This window comes from Homo sapiens, chromosome 12, assembly GCF_000001405.40.
Source record: "Homo sapiens chromosome 12, GRCh38.p14 Primary Assembly".
NCBI classification, from domain to species: Eukaryota; Metazoa; Chordata; class Mammalia; order Primates; family Hominidae; genus Homo; species Homo sapiens.
Genome location: NC_000012.12, coordinates 14,422,759 through 14,441,537, shown reverse-complemented (window position 1 = coordinate 14,441,537; position 18,779 = coordinate 14,422,759). Strand labels below are relative to the sequence as shown.

The 18,779-nt window shown below is 36.6% G+C and overlaps 1 protein-coding gene across 15 annotated transcripts in view; it reads right to left on the bottom strand.

The window, feature by feature from the left end:
- The window catches only part of ATF7IP (activating transcription factor 7 interacting protein), a 137,249-nt gene that overhangs the window by 61,393 nt on the left and 57,077 nt on the right, over positions 1-18,779 (bottom strand). For 10 of the 15 annotated variants that reach the window (NR_170893.1, NM_018179.5, NM_181352.2 and 7 more), the window contains exons 2-5: positions 16,065-17,629; positions 7,115-7,201; positions 5,287-5,432; positions 3,271-3,408 (exon numbers count right to left, since the gene is read on the bottom strand). Coding sequence is in view for 14 of the 15 variants with exons in the window: in NM_181352.2 (NP_851997.1) it covers positions 3,271-3,408; positions 5,287-5,432; positions 7,115-7,201; positions 16,065-17,629 (1,936 nt within the window). In the remaining variant the exon portion in view is untranslated. The remainder of the gene's footprint in view (positions 1-3,270; positions 3,409-5,286; positions 5,433-7,114; positions 7,202-16,064; positions 17,630-18,779) is intronic. The other 5 variants (NM_001286514.2, NM_001286515.2, NM_001388179.1 and 2 more) reach the window with 1 other exon arrangement.

Sequence of the window (18,779 nt, the reverse complement as noted above, 5' to 3'; positions counted from 1 at the left end):
AGCCTGGGAATTGGCAGGAGACTCCGTCTCAAAAAAAAAAAAAAAAAAAAGACTTTGGTATCCAGAATATATAAATAATTCTTACAACTCAACAACAAAAAAGCAAAAAATCCAAATTAAAAATGGGCAAAGGACTTTAATAGACATTTCTATAAACAAGCACATATGATTGATCAACAAGTACATGAAAAGTTGATCAACATCATTTATCATTAGGGAAATGCAAATCAAAACCCTAATGAGATACCACTTCATACCATTCAGATGCTATAATAATAAAAAAAGAAAGTAAAAATAACAAGTATTGGTGAGGATGTGGAGAAATGGAACCCTCATACATTGCTGGTGGGAACAGAAAATGGTATAGCCACTGTGGACAACAGCTGGGTGATTCTTCAGTAAGTTAAACAAAGAATTACCATATGGCCCACAATTCCACACCTAGGTATATTCCTAAAAGATTTGAAAACAAGTATTCAAACAAACACTTGTATACAAGTTCAAAGCAGCATCATTCACAATAGCTGAAAGTAGGAACAACCCAAATGCCATTCAATGGATGAACGTATAAGCAAAATGTGGCATATACCGCCATATAATGGAATATTATTTAGCCCTAAGAAGGAATGAAGTACTGATACATGCTACAAACACAGATTAAGCTGGAAAACACGCTAAGTGAAAGAGGCATGTGAAATATGCAAAACAGGTAAATCGATAGAGACAGCAGATTAGTGGTTGCCAAGGGCTAGTGTAAGAGGAAAAGAAGAGCAAATGCTTAATGGGCAAAACGTTTCTTTTTGAGTTGACAAAAATGTTTTGAAACTAGATAGAGATTGTGGTTGTATAAAATTGTGAATGTACTAAATAACAATGAATTGTACACTTTAAAACAGTTTGGTATCTGAATTTTATTTCCATAAAAAAACAAAATACTGGAACAAGACACAAAGAGATGGAATTAAATTGGGCACATGATCATGGGTGAGTGAACAGGGGAAACAATACGAAGTCAAAAGCCTGGTATCAAAATACAATAAACATTAATAGTACCCTGTAGGACAGTGAAGCAACTGGTGGATATTAGAAAAAGTGGATTGAAAATTAAGAGATTAAAATTTAAAAATTTTAAAAATGAATACTGGTTTTACCGGTACACAATTGAGGAACTTGGACTATAAAGAGACTGAAGTAATCAGTATTTTAGAAAAATTAGTACAATGCTTTGGAAGGACCAGAAAGAACTTAAAAACTAGTACCAGAGTGCTCATATAAAAGGTGTTACTATAATCAAGGAATTGGGTAATGATGGCCTAATGAAAAGTGAAAAGAATTGAGATTTATTTTTTCTAGGAAATAATCAAGTTGTAACTTGGCAACTCACTGTGTATATGAAATGATTGAGAGGGATCGGTTTCCAAGAATTCAAGAGCTGCCAATAAGAGGAACAACGGGAAGATTTTCCTTCAAGAGTTTTCCAAGAATTCAGAAATTGTCAGTAACAGGAACATTTGCAGAGAAGATGATTGGCTTGGTGTTAGAAAGATTCAAATTCTGAGACTACAAGCAACATTTAAGTACAAATTTAAATGTTAAGAAATCTGGATTGCACCTTATGTGTGAGATGATAGGTGTCGAAAACTGTTTTAGGATGGATGGATGGATGGATGGATGGATGGATGGATGGATGGATGGATTTATTTTGGAGACAGAGTCTCACTCTGTTGCCCAGGCTGGAATGCAGTAGCCCGATCTCAGCTCACTGCAACCTCCACCTCCCAGGTTCAAGCAATTCTCATGCCTCAACCTCCAAAGTAGCTGGGACTACAGGCATGCACTACCACACTCGGCTAATTTTTTTGTATTTTTAGTAGAGACAGGGTTTCACCATATTGGCCAGGCTGGTCTCTAACTGCTAGACTCAAGAGATTCACCTTCCTCAGCCTCCTAAAGTGCTGAGCTCACAGGCGTGAGCCACTATGCCCAGCCAAAAACTTAGGTTTTAAAAACACAATTTCATAGTTGCACCCGTGGGTGTGATGAGAAACAATGAATAAAATTATTCTTTCAAATCTTCAGGCATTTTCAAATTTAATTCAAAAGTCTGAACAGTACTAGTAAAATGAAGTTTAATAATTAGATAGGTCAGTCTGGGAGACACACTTAAATTCTAATCCTATTTAGCTAAAATTTTATTCGTAACGGAAAAAGTGATTTGACTTCCATGGGCCACTTTTCCTTCATTTGCAAAATAAGGCCCTATACATGGTTTACCACTCAGCATCTTTGGGATATGCTCATATATAAAATAACCCAATAGGAACCATACACTTACTTATGACAGAATGAATGTACTGATTCAAATACCAGCTTCTTAGCTTTGGAATAAAGTAGATTACTACAGCACACTACTGTGTGCTCATTTCAGCTGACCAGAAGCTCTGGTATTGTATGTTAAGATATAGTTGTACTTAATAAAAAATGACAAGTAGAAATTAATAAATACGTGTTATTAAACTAACATCTTTAAAACATAAGGTCCACGAAAGGAGGTAGATTAACATAAAAAGAATCCCTAACAAATATTATTTAGTACTTATTATAGCATGCTAAATGACAGCCTTCCTTTAGTGACTGGAAAAAAAAATATGAAGCACTAAGTTAGATCCAGGAATTTCTGAGTCTCCGTTATGGTTTGAACTGTGTCCCCTAAAAGTTCACATATTGAAGTCTAAACTTCCAGTATTTCAGACTGTGACCTTATTTGTAAAGAAGGTCATTGCAGAGGTAATTAGTTAAGATGAAGTCATGTTGGAGTATAGTGGGCCCCTACTCCAATGACTGGTGTCCTTGTAAAAAGGGGAAATTTACAGACACACATACAAGGACAACACCATGTAAAGATAAAGCCAGAGATCAGGGTGATGTTTCTACAATGCCAAAGAACTGTCCGCAAACCAACAGAAGCTACAGTAAAGGCATAGAACAGATTCTTCCTCACAGCACAGCCCTCAAAAAGAATCTACACTGCTGACACCTTGATCTTCAACTTCTAGCCTCCAGAACTGTGAGACAGAATATTTCTACTGTTTAAACCACTCAGTTTATTGCACTTTCTTTACAGCAGCCCTGGCAAACTAAACAAACTCCTTTTCCTTCTTACATTTAGAATTTAAATGTATTTTATAGTTAATCTCAAATATATATCTCAGAAAATAAGTTATAAAAACAATGACACATGGAGTATACAACTCAAGTCAATGTACAAACCTGTAGTTCAGTGAGAACTGTTTTATGCCTCTTGTTACATTCAATCTTTTCCACTCGTGTTTTCAATTCTGCCAAAGTCTTATCAAATACAGCACACTGCAGCGCACACAATTTTTCTTCCAGCAACCACTGTATAACCTAAAGAAACAAATATTCCTTCATTATGCCAAGAAGGCATTCCAGCAAGCAATAAACAGTAAATATTCTTTTTTTTTGAGACAGAGTCTCGCTCTGTCGCCCAGGCTGGAGTGCAGTGGCAGGATCTCGGCTCACTGCAAGCTCCGCCTCCCGGGTTCACGCCATTCTCCTGCCTCAGCCTCCCAAGTAGCTGGGACTACAGGCGCCCGCCACTACGCCCGGCTAATTTTTTGTATTTTTAGTAGAGACGGGGTTTCACCGTTTTAGCCGGGATGGTCTCGATCTCCTGACCTCGTGATCCGCCCGCCTCGGCCTCCCAAAGTGCTGGGATTACAGGCGTGAGCCACCGCGCCCGGCCAGTAAATATTCTTAAGTACCAAGAAGACAGTAATGACAAACTAACTTAATGAATAAAACATGCTAGAATCTGTAACACAATACTATCTGCTAAAATCCTCTACTTTTATATATATAAAATCTACTTCAAGAGGGTAATACATACTAAAAATAGAAAATTTCCAGAGAGTAAACTTTTAAAAAGTTCCATATTCTCATTATGGGTCCACAACAAAGACATTGGCACATACCCATGAACCATACTTGAGTAACACTGTTCTAAAGAAGTAAACTCTCAGGAAACCTCAGTTTTCAAAATTCTTTCACATAGCTACCTTCATAATTCTAACAGCTCTGTAAGAAAGACTGAATAAGCATTATTATCTCCATATGTCAAATAAAAAGAAACTAGGGGAAAAAAACAACACTGAGAGTTTCTACAGCCTCACTATTCTTTTTTCTACAAAGTGCAAATATGTATGCTATATTTTAATGAAAGAATTTTGTCCTAAAACATTGATTGTAAAATGTCATCCTTAAATATATAAGACCTTGAAAAACTAGTTATCATCGAAGTTTAATATTCCTCTCTAAGAAAAGCTTTGTAAAAACATTTGTGAACACATGTTGAAAAACATAAAATACTGAATATTTTCATTATTTCTATCTCTAGTCAAACAGATGTAAGGGGAATTTCAAACTCCGTATTCTAAATACTCCTTTCTCTAGTCCTTTTAACACCCTGTCTCTACCACTTTTATACTAACCCTCAAGTACACAATAAAGAGTTTAGAATGTAGACTTATAACCATGAAACCAGCTTTATAAAGATTAAAATGCTAATATTTAAAACTCTAACATTTCCTTTTCACAATAAGATAAAGTTCAATGTGAGAAGGAAAAAGAAAAGCTGAAAAACAACATTCAGTTTTGTTACCAAAGCAAATAAATAAAAATGTTACCTTCTCTCCCTTGTTTTGATAATCATAACCTTTTTTAAAAAAAAAAAAAGATGTAGCCAAAAAGAAGTCAGAAAGAATTTTAAAATTAAATTATCAAGGATAGTAATAGACTTATTTATTTATTTATTTATTATTTTTTTGAGATGGAGTCTTGCTCTGTCACCCAGGCTGGAGTGAAGTGGCATGATCTCGGCTCACTGCCACCTCCACCTCCCGGGTTCAAGTGATTCTCCTGCCTCAGCCTCCCAGGTAGCTGGGATTACAGGCACCCACCACAACATCCAGCTAATTTTTGTATTTTTAGTAGAGTCAGAGTTTCACCATGTTGGTCAGGCTGGTCTTGAACTCCTGACTTCAGGTGATCCATCCACCTCAGCCTCCCAAAGGATTGGGATTACAGGGGTGATCCACCACATCTGGCCAGTAATAGACTTTAAAAGCTCAACCACTTTCTTCAAGTTCTTTCTTTCTATGATAAACCACATTATGTCAATAAAATACAGAATAATGTCAGAAACCTAGAAGAAGATAGTGGTGCTATTTATTCAATATGGTTTATAACTTATAATTGACACAATACCTTTTGAAGTTTCTGGTTAATGTCTCCTTTGGCTGTAATCTTTACTTGAAATTCTGCCTCATATTCTTCTTCCATATATCGACGACGTTTAGACTGTACATTGTCCATGTCTTCTGATTTAGAACGTTTTCGTCTAGAAAATTCATCTGAGAAGGAAAACCACAATGATCACACTCAGGTGTTTTTCTTATAGCTCTTAATGCATATTATCCATCCTTAGCAAAATATTATTTCTATCATAATAGCCTTCTCAACCAACTATTTTGTAAACTGTTTTGGAGATCTTAGAAGGTATATAGCTTTTAGCTTTAAACTTCAAATGACTTTCAATATACTAAATAAGAACTCCCTAATGGTCAAGCAATGCACACTGTGAACACAGAATTTCCTTGAAATCTTCATACTAAGAACTGCCTCACAATTGTGTCATGAAGAAGGTAGATGAAATCATCTCATATTCATTCCTGTAACTAAATGTCACAGTGCACATGAATCCTCTGACAAAATATAGTATTCATTCTCATGTCAGATTTTTAACTATGCACAGCTTTAATTATTTATTCTTTTTCCTCCGTAAGTATAGGAAAAAATTCTTAATCATCAGCCTTACAAAACTAGCACAGTAATAGTTATTCTTAACATATCCTAATGAATTTCAAATAAAAATAAAATTAATGTCATTAAAAGTACATTTATAAAGAATATAGACTAGAAGACTTCACTTAGAAAATCTGTTTCACGTGCTGTTAATATTCATGAGATCATAAGCAAATTTGTATCTGGCTTCTTCAATATCTAAAAAAATTAAAACACTAATATCTTCACACTTTTTAAACGCAAATGCTCTTATGTGACCATGCCTATCCCTCTGTATGTGTCTGTATCTATATGCCTACTTGTAAATCCACTCTATTCTACAATTTCTCTTACAATCTTAACTTACCCATGGTCATATATGGATAGCAGCATGACAGGAAAGTTACTGAACCCAGCTTTCCTGACTTCTAGTCCAATGATCTTTCCATAAACCTAAGGACACTCAGTCCATCATTTCCTTCCCTTCCCATAAAGCTAAAGAACCTTATCTTTCCTTCCCTTTTCCTTCCTTCCTTCCTTCCCTCTTCCTTCCTTCCTGTCTCCCTCCCTCCCTCCTTCTCTCTCTCTCTCTCAAGGTGTCACTCTGTCACCCAGGCTGGAGTACAGTGGCTCAATCATTGCTCACTGGAACCTCAAATTCTTGGACTCAAGCAATACTACCACTGCAGCCTCCAAAGTAGCTGGGACTACAGGTGTGTGCCACCATGCCTGGCTAATTCAAATATTTTTTCTGTAGAGACAGGTTCTTGCTATGTCACCCAGGCTGGTCTTGCATTACTGGCCTCAAGCAATCCTTCCATCTTGGCCTCCCAAAGTGCTGGCATTACAGGGGTGAGCCACTACATCTGGCCCCATGAAGATGAAGAACCTTAAGTGAACTAAAATACATCCTTCCATTCACTTACGTTAGCCCATACAAAATTCTTGTAGTTTCATTCTCTAAACATAAATCTAAAACAATTTATCTCAAAACACTCAGTAACTTAGTAAATTTTAAGCTAAATCTTTCTGTGGAACAATAAAAAGTATAAATAAACAAAATAAAATATTGAAGTGTATGAAACATACTTTCAGAAATCCTTCAGTTAGCCATCAACAAAATGGTATAGTTGTGAAATTGCAAAATTTTACAATTATTTCATGGGCAAAAAAGAATATTACACGGTTGTAAATATAGAAACAGTGAATTATTATTTTTCAATCCAGTTCAAGTTTGTTTATACATGCATACTTTTCTCAGAAGGTCTTTCATCATCTTCATGTATTACTTGCTCTTCTTCCTCAGGTTTGTTGTCCTTTTCATTACTTTCTACTTCTGCTGTTAACAAATATAGAAAAGAAAATCTTACTTCTACTAGAATTCATAACAGCTCACTAATTTACATTTTTAGTCACTATCCAGTTACAAAACCAACCTTTTATGAAATCAGAGTCCCAAAATGTAAAATTTGGGGAGGGGAAAAGGGGAGCAGGAACTGATCGAATGAATGACCACGTCCACATTCAACTGTTCTGCAATTCAGAACAAACTCAACACAGGATTTAATCTTAATATAGATTTTAAGTAATTTAAAAAAATTACTTAATAATTTTCTGTCACCAGTAACATTAATAAAATGTGAAAACAACTGCTGTAGAGCATTTTGATTCCTTTACATTCAATAATTAAAACTAAAATAGTGCCTGTGACAATTATCAAAAAAATTCCAAACTACTGGAAAATTCAAAACAGGTTGAATCCTTAAGTTACTTTAATGCTTATGGTATAGAGAGTTCATAAATAAGGAATGGAAAGGCTATCCCAAATATAATAAAAACTTTAAATATATACCTACTTTGATAACAGTGCCAACAACTGAGCTAGGTGCTTAATATAGTTATCACATGGCCACAATATAATCTCACACTGTAAACTGTATTTTTTGTCATCATATAGATGAGGAAAACATTCAGAAGGGTTAATTTTCTTTTCTTTTTTTTTTTTGAGACTGAGTTTCGCTCTTGTCGCCCAGGCTGGAGTGCAGTGGGGCGATCTCGTCTCACTGCAACCTCCGCCTCCCGGGTTCAAGTGATTCTCCTGCCTTAGCCTCCTGAGTAGCTGGGATTACAGGCACCCGCCACTACATCCGGCTAATTTGTTTGTTTGTTTTTGAGATAGAGTCTCACTCTGTCGCCAGGCTAGTGTACAGTAGCGCAATCTCGGCTCACTGCAACCTCCACTTCCCAGGTTCAAGCAATTCTCCTGCCTCAGCCTCCCAGGTAGCTGGGACTACAGGCACCTGCCACCAGGCCCAGCTAATTTTTGTATTTTTAGTAGAGACAGGGTTTCACCATGTTGGCCAGGATGATCTTCATCTCTTGACCTCGTGATCCACCCCCCTCAGCCTCCCAAAGTGCTGAGATTACAGGCATAAGCCACTGCACTGGGCCTAAATTTTTTTTATTTTTAGTAGAGACAGGATTTCACCATGTTGGGCAGACTGGTCTCAAACTCCTGACCTCAGGTGATCCTCCCACCTCAGCTTCCCAAAGTGCTGGGATTACAGGCGTGAGCCACCTCGACTGGCCCAGAAGGGTTAATTTGCATGAGTCATATAAAATGTAACAACTGAAGAGTGCTGCCAAAAGATATTGCTAAAAATGTCTATACAATTATATTAAATAAAATCCAAGAGGTACCAAAACGTTCTTTTGGTCAATCAATCAATGTCTCTTCAACTAACCTACTCATTAAATGAGGAATAAGGGAGCTACAAAAAAAAATTCATTAAGATGTTTGACTTCTATTTTCCCCCTTACGTCATTGCAACTTGCTTCTCAGTGGCTTCAATAAAGCATGCTATGTTTCATCACGTTCTGCAACTAATATTAAATAAACAATCATAAAGTATATTATGCTATATAAAGATTCTGATAAGACATTTCTTCTCCAATCATCAGGATTTTAATCACAACAGCCCTAATAGCAAAAGTCAAGGTTAAAAAAATTTAAAAGATATTTTAGGTGAAAATAGGCAAGGACAAGGATCATTGATGAATACCTATTAAGGCGCTAGAAGTATTTTTTTCACTGTAAGATAAACAATAAGCTAACACAGTACACAGAATTACTAAAACTATTTTTGAACTTTAAAATAAATTATTTGAAAATTAACTCTCCATTTACTACCCTTTGCTCATTTTAAGTGTTTTAAGACCTCATCTCTCAACCTCAGTTTCAGTGAAATAAAAATTTGTTTGCTTTCTTGTAAACAGATCACAAACTCATTAAAATACATTTTTCTTTCTATATTTTTCCATATCTTTCTGATTTTAATACTCATTGTTAGTAACTCCTGAGCTTCCTAGTCCCCAGAGTTTCCAGAGAGACAGAGTAACTGGGATGCTTGAGATGAAAGGTTTACATAGTCTTTATTTAGCAAATCCTCACATCGCACAAAGCACAAAATTAGCCATGGCTCCAATTAGAGTGACTCCAAGCCAGAGCATCCAGAACACAGCAGAATAAACTGGCCTGCTATGGTTTGCCTCTTTTATACGCATGTTAGTTTCCTCTCCATATGTCAAGCTCAGCTTGAGATTTCTTCATTTTATTCAAAAACCTCCTCCTATCACCCAACTCCCAGTTTCCAGATATGCTTAGAAGATATTACTGGATCCCCAACACTTAAAACACTCAGAATTCACAGAATTAAAATAGAGTTGCTAGAGTTTTTTGTAACGGAAAGAACTTGGGATTTAAAAAATGGTATTAACAAATTCTACAGAGACGGGTAGGGCCTTATATTTCTTTAATTTTATTTTGTCCACAAAGCCTGAAGAAAAACTAAGAATGGGTCTCCTTCAACCCAGAGTAATAATCAAAGGCCCTTGGTACACAGACAACTTTAGACATAATTTCAGGTAGTTCCTGGGACTCCTGAAACTCATCCAAATAGTAGGTTAACAATGTCTTTTTTACTGCCGGGTGTGGTGGCTCACACCTATAATCCCAGCACTTTGGGAGGCCGAGGCGGGCGGATCACAAGGTCAGGAGATCGAGACCATCCTGGCTAACATGGTGAAACCCTGTCTCTACTAAAAATATAAAAAATTAGCTGTATGTAGTGGTACATGCCTGTAGTCCCAGCTACTCGGGAGGCTGAGACAGGAGAGTCGCTTGAACCCGGGAGGCGGAGCTTGCAGTGAGCCGATATCGCACCACTGCACTCCAGCCTGGGTGACAGAGCGAGACGCCATCTCAAAAAAAAAAAAAAGAATGTTTTTTTTAGAATCTGTCCTTACTTACAGATAAGTTTCTGTTATAATTCCTTTGATTTTCTTGAGGATAAGGCTATAGCCTTATCACAATTTGGCAAGTTTTCATAGTTCCATATTCTTTCCTTTCAAGCAGACTAGACAGTAAGCTCATTAAGGGCAGATACCAGATCTCATAATTTTGGTAATCCCAAACACTTTGAGAAATAGCTGAGACAAATTACATGTTTAATACTATCAGATGACTACTATCTTTAATAAGGTTCCATTAAGTAAAGGTAGAAAACTGTGTTTTTAAAGGATTACAAAATAGAATTTACATTAGGGGACTTAGTTTCCCATTTCAGAATTATACTTTATAGAACTTTATTCTAAGGAAAAATGGAGGACAAAAACCATTGCCTTAGATAAGAGATTGGCAAATCTTTTTTGTAAGCGGCCAAAAAATAGATATTTTCAATCTTGTGGGCCACATGACCTCTGTCTGACACAACCTCTTAATTCTGTCCTTGTTGCAGGAATCAGCAATAAGTGCTATGTGACATGTAAACAAATAAGTGCAATAAGTGCTATGTGACATGTAAACAAATTACCATAGCTATGTTTATGTAAATAAAACTTTATTTACAAAAACAGGGCTCACAGGCCAGTCTACCCCATTCACTGATTTAGATTACTGGCTCCATGAAAATATTTGTAACAAAACAAGAAATTCCTACAGACAAATTAAAGACAATATCCATTAGAAAAATGGGCAAAGGAGATGAACAGGCAATTCACAGATAAGGAACTATAAAAGGCCAATAAACATATAAAGATTCTCAACCTAACAAGATCTATCAGAAAAATAAGGCATGACTGGTAATGTGACTTTTCCAGACATTTTGTATTAGTTTTATTTAACCAATACAGAATGGCAAATAATATCTCCTATGTGAATTTTTGTGCTCTCTTTAAAAGCAAAACCTAGCGGGGAAAGTCCCATTGTATTATCTCCAATTCTTCCCCTCCCATTCTCTCTGAAACCCAAATCAGGTTTTCCACTCCACCATTCACCAAAACTGCCCCTTGGTAAAAGTCACCAATGATCTCCAGATTGTTAAATACTTCTCTTCCATCTTATGAGCACACACAGCAGCATTTGATATAGTAAACGGTTACCTTATTCCCTCCTCAAAACAGTGTTTTTACTTGGCTTCTGAAACACCAAAATCTCTGAAACACCAAAATCTCTCCATTTTCTTCCTACCTCAGGGGCTGCTCTTTCTCAGCTCCTTTGTTGGTTCTTCCTTATCTCCCCAACCCTAAACACTGAAATGCCAAAAGCACAATTCTTGGATCTTTTCTCCATGTATACTTACTCTGAGGTGATTTCATCTTGTCACCTAATAGCTACATGCTACCTACTATATTTTTCTAATACAAGTCAAGTCTCTGATCTGAAATCCAGACTTACACATCTAACTTGGACAACAGTACTCATTTGAAAAATGATCTTCCTCCTATACACCTCCTTCCAAAATCTACTTCATCTTTGGTCTTCCTCAACTCTGAAAAGAAAAATCTGCAACTTGCACACTAGTGAATAGAACTAAGAAGCTCCACAAAGAGAAGCCAAGTACATAAGTAACAGCTAAATATAAATGGATTGAGATGATAAAGAATTTTAACTGAACACAATAAACAGTGACAACAAATTAACAGTAAATTGACTAAATCATGCCAATTCTATCAATACTAACCTACAGCAAAAATAGAAGGAAGTCTCAAATTCTAGTCTAATGTAATTATCCTCATTAGCATCAGTTTATGTTTATTTTATTTACCTTAAAGATCCAATGAACAAGGGGAGGAAAATATCAACCACAGATTTTTATTTTAATCTGAAATAAAATCTGCAAGGAAACTATGTCAGTGTTTAATGCAAAAAAAATCTAGTTCACTCTAAAACAGATTTTTCTCTTCAAAAATCTTATGTTTAAGAAAAAAAAGCACGTGGAGGAGGCCTATCCCTATTTTTCCACAAGAAATAGAATGAGAAAGGCCAAAAAAGAAGGGAAGATGGAGAATGCAGTAACCCAACAGCTAAGGGGAGTCTCAAGAGGGAAGAACTGTTATTAAGAGGTCATCCAAGTATGGAAGAATAGATAAGACAAAGAAAAGATGTCCCCGGATTTAATAACATGATCATCAATGTCATTTCACTGAGAAAAATTAGGAGGGCGGCAGCTACCAAGGCAGAAATCAAAATCCAATTAAGTGGAAGGCCTAACAGAAGAAGAAATGGTCCTAGCTTTGTTAATATAACTTGAAGAATGGCACTAAAAGAAAGGAAAGAGATGAAATAGTAGTTAGAGGAAAGTATATGGTATGGCGATGAAGCTCCTCTAGTGTTTGAACTTTCCCAGAGAGATAAATCTTTATTTTGCTATCCTCTTTAAACAGATTATCATTTTAATAATTAGTGAGTATTAGTTATAACATAATACTATGTCACAATTCAGTAATGTCTCTAGACCTATTAAGGTATATATGCAACACTTTTTTAGTTCTTTCTTCTACTTTTGTAAAATTAAAATAGCTTTTCTATTTGCTTTATCTTTCATTATTTCTTGTTGCTGCTGATACACATCACAATTGCTTTATTTAAAACATATTTGCTCAACAAGTGCCTGAAATGACAGAAGGTTATGCTATTTTCCTTTTACTACACTCATAGATGTTAGTAGCTAGAAGGAAGAGCCAGTACTGAAGCCAACTTTAGTACTTCAGCTAATAATTCTGTGTTCTGAGTATATTAAAAATTAGTCAAGAATAAAGGCATTTATTTAAGTAACATTTCAACAGGAGTACAGCAACATAAATGACATGCAACAGATTCTGTCGCCATATAAAGAGAACAGAGTACAGTTTAAGAACCAATTAAGAAACTATTCTTAAACTCAAAATACACAAAATTACCTTCAGAGGAAGGGGAAAAGATACAAAATAAAAGTTTAGTTATGAGCCAAGAAATTAAATCTATCACTAAATTTACCCTGCTAATAGCATACCATCAGATTAAAGGCAAGTAACCAAAAATATTCCCAACTTTGAATTTTCAAAGTATGCAACATGGATGGCTTAATATTCATCTCTCAGCACTTAACTGCCTTGTGTGGGATGCCCTCCAATATCAAGATTCTGACATAAAGGTACTCATTAAATCATAAGCTGCAATTTGCTTTTTTAACTTTCTTATACAGACTTTTTTTTTTTAAAGGACTTATAAGGCTTTTTTATGGACTTGGCCTAGTGCCACACTCTGTATAGACACTTATAGGAAATGGATGAAATTCATTCTCAACACTGTCACCTATTACCTTTCCAAAATGTAAATTTCATTCTCCTCTCTGCTTGAAGTTCTTTATTGGCATTCCAGCGCCATCATAAAGCTTTAGCATTATAACCAAGGTCCTCCATGATATGCTTCTCTTACATTATTGATTATTCATTCACTTTACAAATATTTACTGGGCACTTACTGTGTGCCAGGCACCGTTTTGGCCTGATGATGGTGACTCGCAGCAGGAGTAATAACAGTTGTGAATTGGACTCTAGATCTATTATGATAGTAGTACCAACAGAATTTCCTGATGGACTAATTATGGGGTGTGAAAGAAAAAATAAAAATGGTTCCAAAGTTTCTGGCCTCAGCAAGTAGGATGGAGCTGCCATTAAAAGGAATTAGACTTGGCCAGACGCGGTGGCTCACGCTTGTAATCCCAGCACTTTGGGAGGCTGAGGCAGGAGGATCACGAGGTCAGGAGTTTGAGACCAGCCTGACCAACATGATGAAACCCCGACTCTACTAAAAATACAAAAATTAGCCAGGCGTGGTGTCGCGCACCTATAATCCCAGCTACGCAGGAGGCGGAGTGGGGAGGAGAATCACTTGAACCCGGGAGGCGGAGGTTGCAGTGAGCCAAGATCGTGCCACTGCACTCCAGCCGGGGCAACAGAGCGAGACTCCATCTCGGAAAAAAAAAAAAAGAATTAGACTCATTAAAACCCTATGTTACAGCAGAGCCAATATAGCAAGACCCTGTCTCTACAAAAAAATTAAAATTTTGCCAAGTGTGGTGGCACATGTCTGTATTCCCAGGTACTCTGGGGGCTTAGGTGGGAGGATCACCTAAGCCAGTAAAGTGGAAGCTGCAGTGAGCTATGATTGTGCCACTGTACTCCAGCCTGGGCAACAGAGCAAGACTCTGTCTCACAAAACAAAAACAAGCAAACAAAAAAAACCTCTGTTATACAGATATTAAAAGGGGCAAGACATCCCTAATACATCTGGTGCTCTAATAAAGTTACCTTAATCTGCACTCCCAGAATGCCAATTTAACATTATCACTGTACTCACAGTCTTGTATTTAATGGCCTATGATTTAATTCTTGTGTGTATCCTGAGGGCAAATACTATCTTCAAATCTCTAGAACCAAGAAGGGCCTGGCCTGTCTCTTTATATAGGTTTAGTTGAATGCTCTTTGAAAATAAAAAGCCATCCTTTTTTTTTTTTTTTTTTTTTTTTTTTGAGGCAGGGTCTTACTTTGTCACCCAGGCTGGAGTAGTGGCGCGATCTCGGCTCACTGCAGCCTCGACCACCCAGGTTCAAGTGATCCCCCTACCTCAGGCCCTCAAGTACCCTGGACTACAGACAAGTGCCACCACGCCTGGCTAATTTTTGTACTTTTGTAGAGACGGGGTCTCACCATGTTGCCCAGGCTGGTCTCGAACTCCTGAGCTCAAGCAATCTGCCTGCCTCAGCCTCCCAAAGTCCTAGGATTATAGGTGTGAGCCACCTTACCTGGCCAAAAAAAAAAAAAAAGCCATTTTTTAATAAGAAAAAAATCTCTACCTCCAAAAGCTGGTATGATATATTGGGGAAAAAAGTTGTCTCTGTCTCTTAGACCTGCCTCCATTTTTTTTTCTTTGAAGAAATTAGATGGTGTTTTATGCTAGCAAGGTCACTTCTCTCAGAGATGTCTAAATCTAAAAGAATGTGATATAATGGGAAAAGAAAGGTATTCATGCTTTTCTCAGTCTTCCACAGGCTTAGAAAGTTTCATAGAGGAATAATGTTTTTCAGTTTGACCATAAAAGAAGGTAGAATTTTTCTCATTCTTTTTCTCTAGGAATAATAAATAAAATAAAAGAGATGGGAGAGATAGGTACTGAACAAATCATAAAGTTAATGTACCTTTTACATAAGGAGTTTGAAATCAACCTAAAAGTAACAGAGATCTAAGACATAGACGGACAATATCAAATAAGAGAATTGGGTTACAGGGAGCTCATTCAGAAAATGAGGAAGAGAATAGGTTGGGTAGAATCAAAAGGGCTGAGGGAGCAAATGGGTAAAGTCTTTATCAAATGGATAATCAAGCTTTAAGGTTTCTGGCTTACAACAATGGTGCTGTCATTCCTGGACAAAGAATATTAAAGAACAGGATTTCATTGGGAATATTAATTGAAAATATAATTTGTTACACTTGAAGCAAATAGATTAAACTATTAGGCTTTTAGTTCTAAGTTATTTGTTCGCTAAGTGATAGCAAGAAAGAACTGCTACAACTCTAGTCAATTATGTACTAACTTAAACTGTTATCTCAGTGTTATGGTGCTCTACTTCATCTCTATTTCCAGACTATAAGGGCATATTTTCTACTTATTTTATCTCCCTTCTTAGTATTTAGTACAATGCTACTCACAGAGTACACACACTAATTCTGAATTCTATGAAGTTAAGACATCTTTCTATAGAGTCATCACCATTCTCAACTTTCTCTGCAGCTAAAATAAATTTAAAACATTATGATAATGTTTTATTAAACAGTTCATCAAAGTCAATAAAAAATCTTTAACATTTAAGTTATATGCTAACCTGGAGAGCACGTTTCATTTTGCGATATAACTTCAGACTCATCTTTTTCACCCGAAATATCCTCTTCATCAGAGAGGACCAGAAAGGCTTCTTTTGGCAAACTCTCACTACTTTCTTGTTTAGATGGTGAACCAAAAGAACTTTCCATTTTCTCTTCCAAATCTGGATTTGTCTCATCGATTGGAAGGAGAGATGTTTTAGAAAAGCAAGTAAGTTCATCCTCAGAAGGTGCAAGCTTTTCCAAAATAGGAATGATTTCATCTGTCTCCATAGAGTCTGTATTTTCTAAGATATTCTCACTTTTGTTATCTTCAATAACATTTTCATTAATCGTTTCTACAAGATCTGCAGAAGTTTCATCTTCATTCTTTTCACCTTGGTCAATTTCCATACTGCTAGATATAGCATCTTCTCCAAGAGCAAGCTCTGTGATAATATCTTCCTCTACCTTCTTTTCATTTTCAGGAGGTCGATCTGAACAAATAGTTGTATCATCTGTTTCTAGAGTTTCTTCATTAGCATCAATATTATTATCAGCTTTATTTTTCTCATCCAATGAGTCTTTACTCTGAATTTGCTCTAATTTTTCATCAGCTCCATTTTTTTCAAGAAAATCATCATCTTTATTGCTACTTGGTTCTATATTGTCAATTTCAGGAACTGGTTCACAAACTGGTACAGACTTTGGTTCAAAGGTACGATCAAAGGTTGATTCAGAAGTCAGCTCATCAGAGGCCAGTTCACCAGTGGCCAGATCATCAGAGGCCAGTTCACTAGAGGATAGATCACCAGAGGCCAGATCATCAGAGGCTGGATCAGTGGAAGCTGGTGCTCCAGAAGCCAGATCAACAGAAGTTATTTCACTAGAGGCTATATCATCAGCGGCACAATCACCAGAAATGGGTTCAACAGGGACCGGTTCACCTGGGATGGGATCACTAGAGGTGGGATCACCAGAGGAGAGATCATCAGCAGTGGCATCACCAGAGGTGGCATCACCAGGGGACACATCACCAGAAGGGGCATCACCAGAGGTTGCATCACCAGAGGCAGCATCACTAGAGGAGGGCTCGCTAGAGGTGGGATCACCAGAGGTGGAATCACCAGAGGCCAGTACTCCGGAGGCTGGATCTCCGGCATCCAGATCACCAGGGGCTGGATCACCAGAAACTGGTTCAGCAGGCAGTTTAGAGACTGGTTCTGGAGTTATATTATGGGGAGACAAAGGTTCACAATTTAAATCATCATCCTGCTTGTTTTTTACATTAACACTTAGGATACAGGGTGTTTCCTTCCATTCTGCTTTACTTCCTTCAGGATCAAAACAAATCTCTTCAATGCCATTCACCTCTTCCTTGTCTTTAATGTAATCCATGTTTTCCAAAGGTGAGGTTGGGTCCAAATCTCCATTTTCATGGTTGCCATTTAACAGCTTGACATCAGTTTTCAACAGTTCTTCTTTGACCTTGTACACTGCTTCAAGTTGCTGACGATCACTCACTCTCATCGTTTTTCGAGCCTTAAAGACTTTTTTCTGAGGTTCTTCTAAACTGTCCATTCTGAATCTTTAAGAAAAAAGAGAAAGAGAGTTTAATAACTGAAACAGAAGCCACCTAATTGTAGACTTAATACAAATTGATCTTAGAAGAGATGCAAGCAGCACATTTCATGTAATGTTTAAGACATAGAAAACCTACTGCTTGTTGTATACTAATTATCATATTTACTGCATCTGTGTAATACAAAATCAAAAATGGCCATAGTCTACTAGAAAATCAACTAGAAAGTATTAGGGGGAAAAGGGACAAGTTTTTTTTTCCAATATGGAATTCACAGAGTATGGAGATGTTTAAGCAAAAAAAAGGTAGATAAAGTAAAAAAAAAAAAAAAAAAAAAAAAGTACCTGAAGAAAATGAGAAAGAAAAATAAAAGTGTAAGAACAACAGTAGGGAAATAACAGGTATAGAGATAAAGGAAAAAGGAGGAAGAATTAAGAAACATGTAAGGAAAGATTACATTTGCAACCAAGCATACTTAGATTGGCAGAACTATAAACATATTAACAAAAGATTACCATCAAGAAAGAAAATTCACAACAATGGGAGAAAATATTTGCAAATCATATGCCTGATAAGACTTTTATCTCGAATCTAGAATTTCATATCTAGAATACAGAATATATATTTATATAGAATACAGACTTTTATATCTAGAATATCTAAGAACTGCTATAATTCAATAATAAATCACCCAATTTAAAAATGGTCAAAGGACTTGAACAGACATTTCCAGAAAGAGACCCCTAAGCCAAAAGTCCATAAGCAATAAACATCATGAGACATCAGGGAAACGCAAGTCAAAACCACAATGAAATAACACTGCACACACGACAGGACGGCTACAATCAACGAGAATAATGAGTGTTGGCAAGGATGTGAAAAAACTGGAACTTTCATACAATGATAGTGGGATTGCAAATAGGTGCAGCTGCTTTGGAAAACAGGCAGTTCCACAATATGTGAAGTACAGAGTTGTCATATGACCCAGTGATTCCATTCCATTCATTTCCCAAGAGAAATGAAAACATATGTCCACACAAAAACTTGTACACAAATGCTCTATAGAGGCACTACTCATAATGGCCCAAAACTGGAAACAACCTAAATGTTCCATAACTGATGAATGGATAAATAAAATGTGCCATACCCCTACAAC